Consider the following 16,481-nt stretch of genomic DNA (forward strand, 5'->3'; position numbering starts at 1 on the left):
AAGCTCCCAGGTGTTGCCAATGCTGCTGGTCCATGGGCCACACTTGGAGTATGAAAGTCTGGAAAGACCGCCTCCTAGGAGTAGTTGGATGCTTCCATCTCTCTTCTCTCAAAGTGTTCCAAACATACTTTGATGATAGCCTGTATCACACTGCATTTGCAGAGTCCCGTACAGACTCTACTTCTGAATGAGAGGTGGCGTGTGCACATGTGAGAACCACCTCTCCTATTAACACATGGAAATGCTGTAACGATTAGACACTTACACACCCAGAGCCTGAAAATGTGAAAAGAAAATCTGCATATTCCAGAAACCAAGAGGGAATGCAAAGCAGTGGGTTGGTCTGGTCTGCTAATTTGAATCCCGGTGGGGTTTTAATTTATTGATATTTCTTCTCATTGGTATATTTTCCTGATTCTTTGCATGCTTGGAAATTTTTTAATAGATACCAGACATTTTGAATTTCACCGTGTTGGGTGCTGGATGTTTTTGTTTTTCTGGACTGTTGACTCCAGCTCTTCAATTCATTTTCTTTCTTTTTTTTTTTTTTGAGATGGAATCTTGCTCTGTTGCCCAGGCTGGAGTGCAGTGGTGCGATCTTGGCTCACTGCAACCTCCGCCTCCCGGATTCAAGTGATTCTCCTGCCTCAGCCTCCCGAGTAGCTGGGATTACAGGCACGTGAGGCCACACCTGGCTAATTATTTTTTGTATTTTTAGAAGAGATAGGGTTTCACCATGTTGGCCAGGCTGGTCTCGAACTCCTGACCTCAAATTATCCTCCCGCCTTGGCCTCCCAAAGTGCTGGGATTACAGGCGTGAGCCACCGCACCCAGCCTACCTTATTTTCTGTGTCATAGGAATCACTGTCTTCCTTTGCTTGATGTCCAGTATCTTCAAAACTGTTGTCTCCTGTATTTTTTTCTGATTTTTTGGTTGTTTCAGGTGGGAGAGAGTAAATCCAGTTAGCGTTTCTTCATCTTGTCCAAAAGTTGAAGGCTTGGGGGGTGGGTGGTGGGAAGAGTAGGGCTTTTAGTACTAGTGCGAGGACAGAGTCAGTGCTGCACACTAGTTATAATAACCTCAAACTGTAAACAACCCAAACATCCATCAACAGAAAGTAAATAAAGTGTGGTATATTAGTAAAACTATCCTGTAACAAGAGTGAATACATGATAGCTAAATGTAACAACGCGGATGATTCTCACAAACATAACGCAACCCAAAGAGGCCAGACAGGAAAGATACATCCTATGGGATTCCATTTATATAAAAATTTAAAGCCAGCAAAACTAGTCTGAAGTCAGGACAGTGAGTACCCTTGAGGGGAGCATAGTACGTGGAAGGAGACACGAGAGGACTTCTGGGGTTCTGCTAATACTGTTTTTTGATCTGGGTACTGGTTACATGAGAGTTTCACTTTGAGAAAATTCTTTGAGCTGTGTACTTACAGGTGACTTTATAATATGTACATTATGTATCAATAAAAAGTACCCCCCACACCACTTCCCCAACAAAAAGGTCAAGGCTGCAAGCCAGATGCATTATAGGAAGGTAAGAACTGGATTCCCAGTATAGAACCTAGAAAGCAAGTCGTCTGCCCTAGGCTGAGGGTAGAAATGGACACCCATGAGAAAGCTTGTGCAACGTGTAGGAATCATAGGCTCAAGTTCATACTGTCTAGGAAATGCAGAAACCCTGATCTGAGACACTAAAAGAAAAACTAGTTAGAAACCAGTAAAACTTGTAAGACCCTGTCCGAGCCACTTATAATACTGCCCCACTTTAAGGGCTCCACCGTGGAGGCCACTTTTGAAACACTAGGCAATTGATCACAGTGCCCTCCCTCCCTCTCTCCCTCTCTGTCACCCAGGCTGGAGTGCAGTGGTGCGATCTCGGCTCACTGCAACCTCTGCCTCCCAGGTTCAAGTCATTCTTGTGTCTCAGCTTCCCGAGTAGCTGGAATTATAGGCGTGTGCCACCACGCCCAGCTAATTTTTCTATTTTTAGTAGAGATGGGGGTTTTGCCATGTTGGCCAGGCTGGTCTTGAACTCCTGACCTCAAGTGATCCGCCTGCCTCATCTTCCCAAAGTGCTAGAATTATAAGCATGAGCCACTGCACCAGCCCACAAGGCTACTTCTGACCTTGGAAACTCTTCTTTATTTTGAAAAAAACCACTGGGATTTAAAAAATGTTTTTGAAAAAAAATCACTGGGATTTAAAAAAATTTTTTTGAAAAAAATCACTGGGATTTTAGAGCTTTTTATTCTGTCATCCACATCTCAAACTCTTTCATGATTTCTGTGTAGAAATCTGTAGATTGGTTTCCAACACACTGGTCATGGCCAAAGGCATTGTTTCCACCTGTGGAACGATTCTCCAGAGCAAAGCTTTGTTGACATCTTTAAGAGTTTTGTAAGGAGAAGAGCTTCTGGGCATGTGCAACCCAACTTCCCCATTAAGCCACAGCTCCTTCACAGTAGGGAATTCACCTGTTGCTTGTTGCATTCCAGTGCATATGATAATGACTAGTGTACATTCGGGGCTGTAAAGATGTTGTCCAGTAAGTGACTGCAAAGCAGTCATGGAGTACCACTGTGTGCTGAGCCTAGTGCTAGAGGTGTTTTGTTTATTTGGTGACTTAATGGATATTCTTCTATTGTTTTGACAAACATTTCAAGTAATTTGTACCACATGGCTTTGTTGGTTGCGTTATGTAAGTCAAAACAGTATTCTGCAAGGTAGGATCTCGTACCCTAGGGGGTACACAACAAACTGACCTGTTGGGTTTTGGAAAGAAAATATTAGAGAGAGACAGGGACAGAGGGGAGGCACAAATACATTTTTTAAAGGCCCTGTGATATAGTCTGGCTTATTTTGAGTAGAAATTTCAGATATAGTACTTAACAATTCTCTTTATCCATAAACCTAGAGAGGGCTTTGTGGCTGTTGAGAGAGTCAGAATGAATCTATGATAAAATACTGCATTCTCAACATGAAAAGTTCTTCAAAGGAGGAGGTGTATCTAATGATATTTAAAGTAAAACATCTTGGGAGAAGGGAGAAGTAGGATCTACTCTAAACTTTACCAAAATGTAATCGCCTCTAGACTATTCAGTACAGCTTAGATGATCTTCGTTGCTACTGTTTTTGATCTAAAGCCTTGCCACAGGCACTGAGATTATTAGTGGGCCAGTTCTCTCTGCTACTTAGCCAGCACTTGACCTGCATGTTTTGGTAGTTTAATAGCACTTAAGGATCACACAGTGGGACCAACAGATAAAAATCACTGGGATTTTAGACCTTCTTATTCTGTCATCCACATCTCAAACTTTTTCATGATTTCTGTGTCTTTACCTGTCCCTCTCTCTGGGCTGCATTCTGGATAGCTTCTTCTAATCTAGATGCCAATTCTTTCGTAAATTGTGAGTACGTAAGATTCTGTATTACTTGTCTTTTGAGTTTCTGATGTCAGTGATTGTAACTGTCATTCCTAGAACTTGTGTGGTTCTTTTCATATTATTTGTGGTCATATATAATGATTTCCCTCATTTCCTTCTCTTCTCTTGGGTTTTGTTCAGGTACACAGGGAGGTTGCATTCTTGGCCCAAACCCACGTGGTGAGGTGTTCTCCAAGAAGACTTTTTTCTTTTTTGTTTTTGTTTTTGTGTGAGATGGAGTCTCTCTCTGTTGCCCACGCTGAAGTGCAGTGGCGCGATCTCTGCTCATTGCAGCCTCTGCCTCCCAGGTTCAAGGGATTCTCATGCCTCAGCCTTCCAAGTAGCTGGGACCACAGGTGCACACCACCATGCCTGGCCATATTTTGTATTTTTTAGTAGAGACGGAGTTTCACCATGTTGACCAGGCTGGTCTCAAACTCCTGACCTCAAGTGATCCACCTGCCTCCACCTTTGAAAGTGCTGGGATTGCAGGCATGAGCCACTGTGCCTGGCCAAGACTTTTTTCTTTTATTCTATTTCACTGAGGACTGAATCCAAGATAGAGAGCATCCGCATCTTCCCTCTATGGACCAGGATTTTTCTGCTTGCCTTTCAGGGAGTCCAGATTTACCCAAGGCTCTCAGAACAGTTGTCCTGTCATTCTTATCTCAGGCTTCTCTCCATCTCCAGGTCACCAGTAGATGGTCAGGAGGCAAGCATGGACTCTAGCACTCAGTCACTGAAGAGGTTTTTTTCTCATTTCTGACCTTAGAGACTCTTCTTTATTGTCCTAACGGTTCAATTATGTATTTTAAAACATGCTTTTACTACACTTGTATTAAAAAGGAAGAGAGACAAGTTTATGAATATGTACATATATAATTCATATATACCATAAATGTGTGTATATATTTTGACTTGTATATGCATTTTTAAAACCTCTGGAAGGACAAGAAACTAGTAATGCTGGGGAAGCAGTAATGGAAACAGGCAGATGGGGGGCCAGTGGTGACAGATTTCTTTTATCAGACCCTCTTAATATTTTTAGTGATTTGAACCATATCAGTATATTACCAGTTCAGGGGCTGAACGTGGTGGCTCATGCCTGTAATCCCAGCACTTTGAGAAGCCAAGGCAGGAGGATTCTTTGAGCCTAGGAGTTCAAGACCAGCCTGGGCAATATAGTGAGACCCCATCTCCATAAAAAAATAAAAAAATTAGCCTGGTGTGGTGGAGTGTACCTGTTATCCTAGCTACTGGGGAGGCTAAGGTGGCAGGATCGCTTGAGCCTGGGAGATGCAGATAATTACACCACTGCATGCCAGCCTGAGCAACGGAGCAAGACCCTATCTCATATGTGTATATTCAACAGGATATATATATATATATATATATATATATATATATATATATATATATATATATTCAACAGGATATATATATATTCAACAGGATACATATATATATTCAACAGGATACATATATATATTCAACAGGATATATATATATATATATATATATCCTGTTGAATCAATTAATTGTGTAATATAAACTTTTTTCCCCAGCAGTCTAGATGTTCTTTACCTGGTGGGTTTCAGGCATCTAGTCTGCTATTTTGTTAGAAATAGAATAGTGATTACTTTTGTGGTTATATGCGTTTTAGATCGTGGTTTTACCTGTCTGGTCCTCCAGATGAACTCTGTAGAGCAATATTTTCCAAACTATCTATGGCAAAGCAGTTGTTCTTTAAAATTATCCAATCTGGCTGGCTGTAGTGGTTCACACCTGTAATCCCAGCACTTTGGGAAGCCGAGGCGGGCAGATCACTTAAGATGAAGAGTTCGAGACCAGCCTGGCCAACATGGTGAAACCCTGTGTCTACTAAAAATACAAAAAGTTAGCTGGGCATGGTGGTGCATGCCTGTAATCCCAGCTACTTGGGAGGCTGAGGCAGGGGAATCATTTGAACCCGGGAGGCGAAGGTTGCAGTAGCTGAGATCGCACCACTGCACTCCAGCCTGGGTCGCAGAGCAAAACTCTGTCTTAAAAAAATAAAAAAAAAAAAATTCCAATCTGCCATGAGCCAATACTTTGGTAAACTACAATAAAAATAAATTGCTGATCACATGCTTGATGTCATGGCAATGTTAAATTGCTATACAAGTTTCTAAAAGGTTTCACTCAATTGTTTCTCACTTGCAAACCAGTAAAAAGCAATGCTGGACCAGACCACACTTTGAGTAGCACTGCGATAGATGGTGCTCCAGTATTTTCTGGTACTTGGTGTATCAGAAATTGATACCACCCTGTTCTTTAAATTTCTTGTTGGTTTTAAAGTTTTTCCATTGTAAACCTGGTGTGTGTGTGTGTGTGCGTGTGTGCACGTGTGTGTAAAACTGTATGGCCTTATCTAAAACGTTAGATGTTTGCTACAGCACACACCTGCCTTAGTTAGAGACCAAGCCCATGGCTAAGTGGTCTGGGTGGTGGTACCGGTGTCCCTCCAGAAGTCTTTCCCAGTTTAATAGTGGATTTTATCAAATCAAGATGCATTGATGCAAGTATTTTTTGATCATCTAGAAGTTCTCATTGGTTGATTTTCACAGTAAGTCAGAGCTGCCATCTGCCTGGCAGCAATTGTAAGGTACCATTGATGTCAGAGATGTTAAAATGTGGAAGAACATGTGTCTTAGAATATCTTGCAGATGGACCCATGATGTTCTAGTGCCTAATTACTGTCGAATGCTTGGAGACTTGTTTATGAGAAGTACTTGTCACATATTTACTAGAAGTAGGAGGAAGGCTTCAGTGGCTTCCTTTAGAAACTTCACCACTGTATTGAATGGCATCTTGTTGCAACAGCCTGATGTTAACTGGGGCACGTTCTGTCTTCTCTAGCATTGCTTCTTTCTTTTTTTTGAGACGGAGTCTCACTCTGTCACCCAGGCTGGAGTGCAGCGGCACAATCTTGGCTCACTGCAACCTCCACCCCCGGGTTCAAGTGATTCTTCTGCCTCAGCCTCCCGAGTAGCTGGGATTATAGGCACCCACCACCACGCCCAGCTAATTTTTTTTTTTTTTTTTTTTAGTAGAGATGGAGTTTCAGTGTGTTGGCCAGGCTGGTCTCGAACTCCTGACCTCAAGTGATCCACCCGCCTCAGCCTCCCAAAGTGCTGGGATTACACAGGTGTGAGCCACCACACCTGTGTGGCATTGCTTCTTTCATTAGGAGCCCTGCTGTGCTGCAGCATCCTTGCAATGGACAAGCAGTGAGAACGTTGGCCATTTGGTCACTTATCTATGAACTGGTGGCACTGGTATATCTTCCAGTGTCATTAATAGACATTTTTCTCATCATTGAGTTTTTTTCTTACTTTCAGTTTCCTTCTGTTCTACCCCTGCCATTCTGACCTTATTAATATTGGGAGTTCCAGTTGTCCCATTATCTTGCTTGCCATGCAGACTGCTTGACACTTCTTTTAACTGTGTATTATCCCACTGCAAAGAAATTTCTCAGAAAGTTCTGGTTATCCTTTCATAATTTTCTGCTGCAGACGGTGTTTTATTTTACCTGTTTTTATAGTTCTGTGGCCACTTCAGTGGCAATTTAAGAGGAAGAGGAGTTAATCTTTGGGCTAACACTGCCATTCATTTCTTCACCATGTATTTTATTGAAATGCCTGCGCTATGCCTGGCATAGTTCTGTGAGTATAGCAATAGTCAGAGAGTAGTACATCATGGGTATTCAATCTTTTGGCTTCCCTTGGTCGTATTGGAAGAAGAAGAATTGTCTTGGGTCACATATAAAATACACTAACAATAGCTGATGAGCTTTAAAAAATCGCAAAAAATCTCATAATGTTTTAAGAAAGTTTATGAATTTGTGTTGGACCGCATTCAAAGCCATGCTTACCTGGTTCTACTTCCCTTCATGTTTAGATCCTCTTTTAGAAAGATGTCAAGTTTTAAAAATCTTAACTTAGAATTTAGGGATTTATTGATAGCTTGTCAGTGCTTTGATTTGACACTAATGTATTCTATAGAAATAATTTTTATATCATTTGCTTTTTAGCCGATTACACCTCAACAAGAAGGCAACTGACAAACAGCCTTATAGCAAGCTCCCAGGTGTCTCTCTTCTGAAACCACTGAAAGGGGTAGATCCTAACTTAATCAACAACCTGGAAACATTCTTTGAATTGGATTATCCCAAAGTAAGTTCAGTGTTACGGTTTTTTGTTTTGTTTTGTTTTGTTTTGTTCCCCTCATGATAAACATTTAGGGATTTTAACACTGTATAAGGTGAAGGTATTAAAAATTCATGATGATATTGGCCTCATAAAATATAACCTTTAGTAGTAGTCATCACAGAACAGAAATAGGTTGAGGAAGGGGTGTAAATTCCCTTTCTAACCACCTATATGTCCGTGTGAAGTAGAGATCCCTGAGTAAACCTTCTGAAACTCAGACATTGTCAAGTGCCTGGTAGTTTGAAAATAAAAATTTTCTTCCATAAGAGCTGGATATGAACAATAGGAAGAGGAGACAAGGAGAGGGAGAAAGCAGTGTTAGTGGTCTGAAATGGGTTGCAGTACAGCCAGAACTAAACGTGACTTCTCCGGAGAAACTGGCTTTGAGCCAAGAATAGATTACAGTTAGTGGTACTGTAGGGTTTCATCTTACCTCATTTTTAATTTCCTTACTGTTCTGATTTTAATAGCTAATTGTATTGCTTATACCATTTATCTATATAATCTGTATATCTGTAAACTCAGTGTACTCCCTTAATTGGAGACCTTCCAGTTTTCTTGAGATGAAAGTATTCTTTTTATCACTTTGCTTTAGTAGTCCACCTGTAGTTTCTTAGGATAACTTAATATTCTTTGATTTTTGTACTTAGCTTTACAGCAGCTTTGTATTAAATTGCTTGAGACTGCTTTTGAAAGGGCATTTTGGTGGTAACAGATCACTTGTGAGAAGAATGTGTCTTTAAGCTTCTACCCACTTGACTTTCAGTACAGTTTAGTTTTCCCTTTGCGGTCTCTATTCACTTGCCTCAATTTTTACCCTATTGCCTCAGTTTTTCCATAGCTGTTTTTGCTACTGGGAGAGTCGTCCCTCTTAATTTTTTTGGACAGGGTAGCTCAAATAATCAGAAGGAAGATGATATGCGCACTACACTTCTTATGGTGACTGGTTTTCATGCTCTTATTTCTTTTCTTTTAGCCTTTATTTTTCTCGGTAGCACCAATGAAAAGAATAGAGAAGACACAGATGTGATAGCCTTAATGCAGCACTTATTAAGTAGGTAGACATGAGTATCATTCAGTTGTATTTTTAGTGTTTTTATATTATTGCTTTGGAGTTTTGGAGTTTAGAAGCCAATTTTGGAGTATTGGAAGCTGTTTTGAAGCAAAAAAATTATATGTTCTAGTTTGTGTGTGTTTATATGCTTAATAATTTTAGATATTTGAATTAAATACATGTGTTAACTTCAATCAAATATATAATTTTTAAATAAGATATAATTGTATATACTTGTTTTTTCAAACTAAAAAATGGTAAAACTTAGCCTTTTGTAATTGAGAAAGATATAAATAAAATTAATTGTAAAATAAGCTTTGCAGTAAGAAAAATGGGAGATTTTCAAGCTCCATAAAAGTAAATGCAAAGGAGAATTAATGTTTACGAATGAAAGAAATTTTCTATTGATTATGAATGAATCTTAGAGCATAGCTTAGAGTCATATGCATTATCATTGTGAAACTTAATCTCACATTTCAGTTTTTTAACCATCCTCTTTCACTTTCCCCATTCAACCACTCTTAAAATTGGTCATGGAATTTTTACGTTGTAGTGCTTGTGAGATGATAGTCATGGGGTTTAAATGCTTGAGGAAGTCAGTGAGGGGTTTAGTTGTAGAAAGAATGGTTTTTTGTGTTCGTTTTTGTTTTTAAGACAGTATCTTGCTTTGTCACCTAGGCTGGAGCATAGTGGCACAGTCGTGGCTCACTGCAGCCTCAGCCTCCCAGGCTCAACCAGTCCTCCCACCTCACCCTCCCTGGTAGCTGGGACTATGGGCATGTGCTACCACACCTGGCTGATTTTTGTATTTTTTGTAGAGGGTGTTGCCATGTTGCCGGGGCTGGTCTTGAACTCTTGGGCTCAAGCAATCCCCCCACCTCAGCCTCCCAAAGTGCTGGGATTACAGACATGAGCCACCATGCCCTACTGAAAGAATTTTAAAAAGTAACCCCAGGGTTATATGTATCCATTGATTACGAGCATTTCTAATGACCCCATAACTGATTTCTTGTGAATGAAGATTTTGGCCAGGCGTGGTGGCTTGTGCTTGTAATCCTAGCACTTTGGGAGGCTGAGGCGGGAGGATTGCTTGAGGCCAGGTGTTCAAGACCAGCCTGGGCAACACAGTGAGACCCCCACCTTCAAAAAAATAAAAATTAAAAAATTGAAATAAAAAATTGTTTTGGAAATTACAGTTTAGAATGATCTCAAGAGCTCTTGTTTTCACTTAGAGTAGTAGCTCTTTTTCCATTTAGTTATATCATTTAAGTGGGTTGAGGAGAAAGCTATTTTGACATTCATTGTAAGATGAAGAATAGCATCTGCAGATTATTTTATTCTTTGTTAGTACAGAATTTTATTTTCTAATTATAAACTTATATTTAGCTGTATAAATAGAAAGTTTGGAAAGCAGAGGAGAAGTGCAAAGTACCTGCAATCTAAGGGAAATATTTGATTTCACAGCATTTTATTTACTTGGTGAAAACCAAATACAATGGCAAATGTTCCACAGGAGACTAAAGTTAAACCACTGAAATCACGCATATCTGAGCATGAACAGACAAGGCATTTGTGTCACCAAGAAGTCAAGGAGACCCAAAATAAACATTTACGTGACTGCCAGGCGCAGTGCCCTTTCATATTTGCATTTTGCCTGGTGTGAACATCGTTTTACCAGAGTATGGAAATGTTTTCATTTTGGACATAACTTTCTCTTCTAATATTCGATTGGGACTATCATAGGCCATTTGGGGGAAAATAATAAAACATATCTTCAAGTTTTAAAATTTTACTTAATTTTGGACATGTGCAAGAAAATTTACTGCTACTGGTACTTGCTCTGAATTTCTAGGTTTCAATTTTGGTGAGACTAGACTAGTTGCTCTGAAAGATCTCTGCGCTGTATTCATCTTACAAGTCTACTTTTATACTGATACTCATTCCTTGGGAAGACATAAAAGAATGAAAAGGTGATGCAGTTCATTTTCCACAGCATTGAACACTCATTTGTCACCAGCGTAGAAGGGATTTGGGGAGAGATTAAGCAGTAGCAGTAATAGTCAATAATCTGCGTCTAAAGTGGCTTGCTGGCTTTACTTCAGTAAATTCTGGCCATGTGAAGAATACCTAAATCAACTATCAGAGTTCTTAACAGTGAACCTGTCATAACTATGATTTTTTTTTCTTTTTTGCAATTATAGAATTGATTTTTTTTTTCCTTTTGAGGCAGAGTCTTGCTCTGTCACCTGTGCTGGAGTACAATGCCACAATCTCGGCTCACTGCCACTTCCGCCTCCCGGGTTCAAGCAATTCTCCCGTGTCAGCCTCCCGAGAAGTTGGGATTACAGGCGCATGCCACTACCGCTGGCTAATTTTTATATTTTTAGTAGAGAGAGGATTTCATCATGTTGGCCAGGCTGGTCTTGAACTCCTGACCTCAGTTGATTCCCCTGCCTCCGCCTCTTAAAGTGCTGGGATTGCAGGTGTGAGCCACCGTGCCTGGCCTGATTTAACAATTTTAATACAGGGATTCTTAGCAAATAAAATATCTCATCAAATTGTGAAGACACAGAGCTGATAGCTGAAAAATGATTCCTGGTTAAAATCTGATACTTTAGAAAATACTTGGAATGCTGCCTCCAATTTGGTGTAATTTCCAATATCAAAAACAAATGAATCTTATGTATTTGAGTCTGAACTTTTTTTTGGATAATATGAATATGAGTCTCATTTACACTCTGGCTAATCAGAAAGTATTTGTTTTTAATTAAAAATTATGTTTAAGCAGTGTAATCAATAAAAATTAAAACTTCAAGGCCGGGGGCGGTGGCTCACGCCTGTAATCCCAGCACTTTGGGAGGCCGAGGCGGGCGGATCACGAGGTCAGGAGATCGAGACCACGGTGAAACCCCGTCTCTACTAAAAATACAAAAAAAAAATTAGCTGGGCGCAGTGGCGGGTGCCTGTAGTCCCAGCTACTCGGGAGGCTGAGGCAGGAGAATGGCGTGAACCTGGAAGGCGGAGCTTGCAGTGAGCGGAGATCGCGCCACAGCACTCCCGCCTGGGCGACAGAACGAGACTCCGTCTCAAAAAAAAAAAACAAAAAACAAAAAAACAAAAAAAAACACTTCAAACCTTGCATCTGAATAAAGGCAGACTGTACCTCCCTTACTTATAACCTCCCTACTTAACACTAGTATAGCATTTTTCTTCCCATTGAGTATATTTCTAGTACTATATTTTTACAAAGTTTTCTCTTGCTGGGGAAAATAAAAGCTAAGATTAGTTTTTTATTGTACTTTATGGAATTGCATTACTTATAAACATTTCCTTTCATCATATGTACTCATACTCACAAAATAGCATTAAAAAAGCATTAAAGGCTGGGCATAGTGGCTCATGCCTGTAATACCAGTACTTTGGAAGGCTGAGGTGGGCAGATCACTTGAGCCCAAGCATTCAAGACCAGCTCGTCGTCTGTACTAAAAATACAAAAATTAGCCAGGTGTGGTGGTGCACACCTATAGTCCCAGCTACTCGGGAGGCTGAGGTGGGAGGATTGCTTGAGCCTGGGAAGTTGAGGCTATAGTGAGCCAAGATCACGCCACTGCACTCCAGCCTGGGTGACAGTGAAAGACCCTGTCTCAAAAAAAACCATTAAAGATACTATGCTGGCTGGGCACAGTGGCTCACACCTGTAATCCCAGCACTCTGGGAGGCCGAGGCAGGCAGATCACGAGGTCAGGAGATTGAGACCATCCTGGCTAGCACAGTGAAACTCCGTCTCTACTAAAGAAAAATACAAAAAATTAGCCGGGCGTGGTGGCGGATGCCTGTAGTCCCAGCTACTCGGGAGGCTGAGGCAGGAGAATGGCGTGAACCCTGGAGGCCAAGCTTGCAGTGAGCTGAGATAGCGCCACTGCACTCCAGCCTGGGTGACAGAGCGAGACTCCATCTCAAAAAAAAAAAAAAAAAAGAAACTATGCTATGTTTGGAAAAACAAGGAACTCTTTAGAGCAAGCCTGGCTGAGCAGCCTCCTATAGTAGGAAAGCTCGTTGTTACTTTTGCCGTTTGAAAAGTCACTTAACCTCTCTAATCATTATTGTGAAGGTCATTGCCTTTTTGGTGGCTCAGCCAAATATTGTTTTGAGAGTCTGGATGGGAGGCTGACTGACACTTTCTGTGACTTAGAGTCAGCTCTTAAGGAAATCTCAGGAGGGTGGTAGAAGTAGGGCCCTTTCCATTTTCAGATTTTTATCTGGTCTCTGGAGACCAGGTAACTGTCAAGTTGGTTTCAGTACCTCTTGAGTGGCAATTTTCGTCAGTCATCATTAGAGGTAGATATTGGATAGAATATATAATAACAGCAGTATGTAGGTAGAAAGTATGAGGAAAATATACATTGTTTTCCTCATCGACTTAATTATTAAGAAAACATGTTTTTCATTTGACAAAAAATCTTATTAGCTAACCTTCTTCATTAACCTTAGTCTTGGTTCTTTTGTGATCAACTGCAAATTTCTTTTATTTTTATTTTCCCCGAGACGGAGTTTCACTCTTGTTGCCCAGGCTGGAGTACAGTGGCGCAATCTCGGCTCACTGCGACCTCCCTCTGCCTCCCAGGTTCAGGCGATTCTCCTGCCTCAGCTTCCCAAGTAGCTGTGATTACAGGTGTGTGCCACCATGCCTGCTAATTATTGCATTTTTAGTAGAGACGGGGTTTCACCATGTTGGTCAGGCTGGCCTCGAACTCCTGACCTCAGGTGATCCACCTGCCCTGGCCTCCAAAGTGCTGGGATTACAGGCTTGAGCCACCACGCCTGGCCCACAAATTTTTTTATTGGCAGTTTTTGCTGAGATTATAGGTAGTGGGCAAACAATTGTTATTATGCTCACAGGCACTATAAACATTTTATTTCTACTTTTTACTTGTGTATGCTTATCATTGGAAGTAAATATAACAGACTTTGTCGTTCTCTTGAGTTAGTTAGCTTTGTTATGTTTTCATGGACATAATTAACCTCCCTTCTGTGCTTAAAAATGTTCGACCAGTTTTATGTTGTCGTCGTTTTGTTTTTTTTTTGAGATGGAGTCTCGCTCTGTCGCCCAGGCTGGAGTGCAGTGGCGTGATCTGGGCTCACTTCAGTCTCCGCCTCCTGGGTTCAAGTGATTCTCCTGCCTCAGCCTCCCAAGTAGCTGGGATTATAGGCGCGTGCCACTACACTTGGCTAATTTTTCGTATTTTTAGGAGAAACAGGGTTTCACCATGTTTCCCAGGCTGGTCTCAAAAACTTGACCTGAAGTGATCCACCAGCCTTGGCTTCCTGAGGTGCTGGGATTACAGGCATGAGCCACCGTGCCTGGCTGTTCAACCAGTTTTAGAAAAGATTTGGTAGGAAATTTCTTCATTGAGTCAACATGAATTTATTACCACTTCTGGGGAAAAAAATCACTACTTAGAATACATATCCTACAAATAATAGAGTAGTATTTTTGTATGTTAAGGACAAATACTTAAAAAATTTAGTTGTTGACTGAGCATGGTGGCTCACGCCTGTAATCCCAGCACTTTGGGAGGCAGAGGCAAGCAGATCCCAAGGTCACGAGTTTGAGACCAGCCCGGCCAATGAAACTCCGTCTCTACTAAAAATACAAAAATTAGCCAGACATGGTGGCGGGCATCTGTAGTCCCAGCTACTCCTGTTTGGGAGGCTGAGGCAGGCGAATCGATTGAACCTGGGAGGCGGAGGTTGCAGTGAGCTGAGATCATGCCACTGCACTCCAACCTGGGTGACAGTGAGACTCTGTCTCAAAAAAAAAAAAAAAGTTGGGTTGTTAATGGAAATTTAGGGGTTCAGTTCAGGATTTTATAAATCTGGCTGCATGTCAGATCACCCCAGAGATTCTGACTCAAAAGTCTAAAATAGGGTCCAATTCTCTTTTTAAAATAAATGCCCCAGGGTGATTTTTTTTTTTTTTTTTTTTTTTTTTGAGGCAGGGTCTCACTCTGTTTCCCAGGCTGAAATGTAGTGGCGCAGTCTTCGGCTCACTGCAGCCTCAACCTCCTGGGCTCAAGCAATCCTCCCACCTCAGCCTCCCAAGTAGCTGGGACCACAGGCATGCCTCACCATGCCCAGCTAATTTTAAAAATTTTTTGTAGAGACAGGGCCTCGCCTTTTTGCCCAGGCTCCTCTCGAGCACCTAGGCTCTAGCAGTCTTCCCACCTTGACCTCCCAAAGTGCTGGGATTACAGGCATGAGCCACCGTGCCCAGCCCCAGGGTAATTTTGTCACAGCTGGGCAAGTGTTAAGAAATGCCTTTCTTAATTTACTGTTAAAAATCTAAACATAGCACTGGGCAAAATAAAGTTGTAGGTATTTTCATAGTTACAAGGCTAAGCATGCATTTCAAGATCGTAAATGTCCATTCAAATCAAATTCTGTTTTGTTTCAAAAAGTTATGAAACAAAAAAGGGTAATCTTACTTTGTCCTTTTCATGTGATGAATTTGGAAGGGCCCTTTAAATTTATTATAATGGGATTTTATATGAAATTTGTTGCACCTTCATGAAATAATATTAAGTATAGAGACAAAGCTTCTAGAGAGAGGTTGTGTTTATTTTGCTTCCTTTTGATGTCACTTTTTACTCTGCTAGGCACCCTGTGAGCAGTTAGTAAATCTTCAGTAGTGATGGCCATGGACAAGCTTGAGATCCAGTTAATGGAGATTAACTAGGAGATTCCTATCTGGGAATGGCAAGACTGCAGTTGTGGGCACTGCCAGTCTCTTCCTTATTTATTCTGCTTGCAGATAGGCTCCTAATTAGAAGCTTCACTCCATTAAAGCAACACTTGTTATCATAAGTGTTTGCATCCATTGTGAATGCTCTCTTTTAAAACTTTGCATAATACAGTTGCTTGTTTTTTCCTGTGCTTTTTGTTCAATCAATACATGCTAGTAAGTGCTTATTTTTTTAAAGAATTTAATTTACATACAATGCTTTTTGACTAGTATGAAGTGCTCCTTTGTGTACAAGATCATGATGATCCAGCCATTGATGTATGTAAGAAGCTTCTTGGAAAATATCCAAATGTTGATGCTAGATTGTTTATAGGTAAGTAACAAATTCTGTAGTAACCATTTTCCATTGATAGTATTAAGTATCAGTAATCTCTGCATTGAACTGAAGATTAAGGTGTTAGCCATGTTTGTTTTAAACATGTTTGTTGGAGTACTGAGAGGTGTTTACGTCCTTTTGAGAAAAGTTATAAAAACAAAGGTTTTTTTTTTTCATATCTGAGATGAACAAAATCACACACAAAATAATATTTTTCCCATTAATCAGACATGAGGGTCTGTTATTTTTTGTTTCTTCAATATTTTAAATGTGTGGCCTTTTCTGTATCTTACTGACTATAATTGGAGTGAATGATAGAATTCACTTTTATTACATTACAAGAAGGGTATTTTTCCAAAAGCCTACAGGCTTATTTGAAAGACTTGTAGAGGTGTGTTTGCCATTAGTGTTTTTTTTTTTTTAACATAGAGCTGATGTGGTCTCTCTAAAAAACCAGTAAGTCGTATAAAATGATATCAGATCTTTGCTATTTGAAGATCGGGCAATGATTTAAATTTTTTATTAGCTTAAAATGCAAATTTGAAAATTAATATAAGTGTAGCATGCCTACGAATTAATCAGGACCATTACAAATCTATCAGCTCATGGTCAGAGATGC

At 40.5% G+C, this 16,481-nt stretch overlaps 1 protein-coding gene across 3 annotated transcripts in view, besides 1 other annotated feature; it reads left to right on the forward strand.

Annotated features, from left to right (window-relative positions):
- Positions 1-16,481, forward strand: part of UGCG (UDP-glucose ceramide glucosyltransferase) — a 38,556-nt gene that overhangs the window by 10,279 nt on the left and 11,796 nt on the right. For 2 of the 3 annotated variants that reach the window (NM_003358.3, XM_017015107.2), the window contains exons 2-3: positions 7,513-7,654; positions 15,757-15,859. In NM_003358.3, the coding sequence (NP_003349.1) occupies positions 7,513-7,654; positions 15,757-15,859 (245 nt within the window). Of the gene's footprint in view, positions 1-7,512; positions 7,655-8,666; positions 8,745-15,756; positions 15,860-16,481 lie in introns of those variants that run through there. The other variant, XM_047423844.1, reaches the window with a different exon arrangement.
- Positions 2,371-2,430: an enhancer, noted in NCBI's record as "active region_28800". NCBI's record gives its function as "activates an Ori minimal core promoter by ATAC-STARR-seq in GM12878 lymphoblastoid cells {active_cell/tissue: GM12878}" and the evidence as "EXISTENCE:reporter gene assay evidence [ECO:0000049][PMID:35858748]".

The sequence above is a fragment of the Homo sapiens genome, chromosome 9 (genome assembly GCF_000001405.40).
Source record: "Homo sapiens chromosome 9, GRCh38.p14 Primary Assembly".
Taxonomy (NCBI): Eukaryota; Metazoa; Chordata; class Mammalia; order Primates; family Hominidae; genus Homo; species Homo sapiens.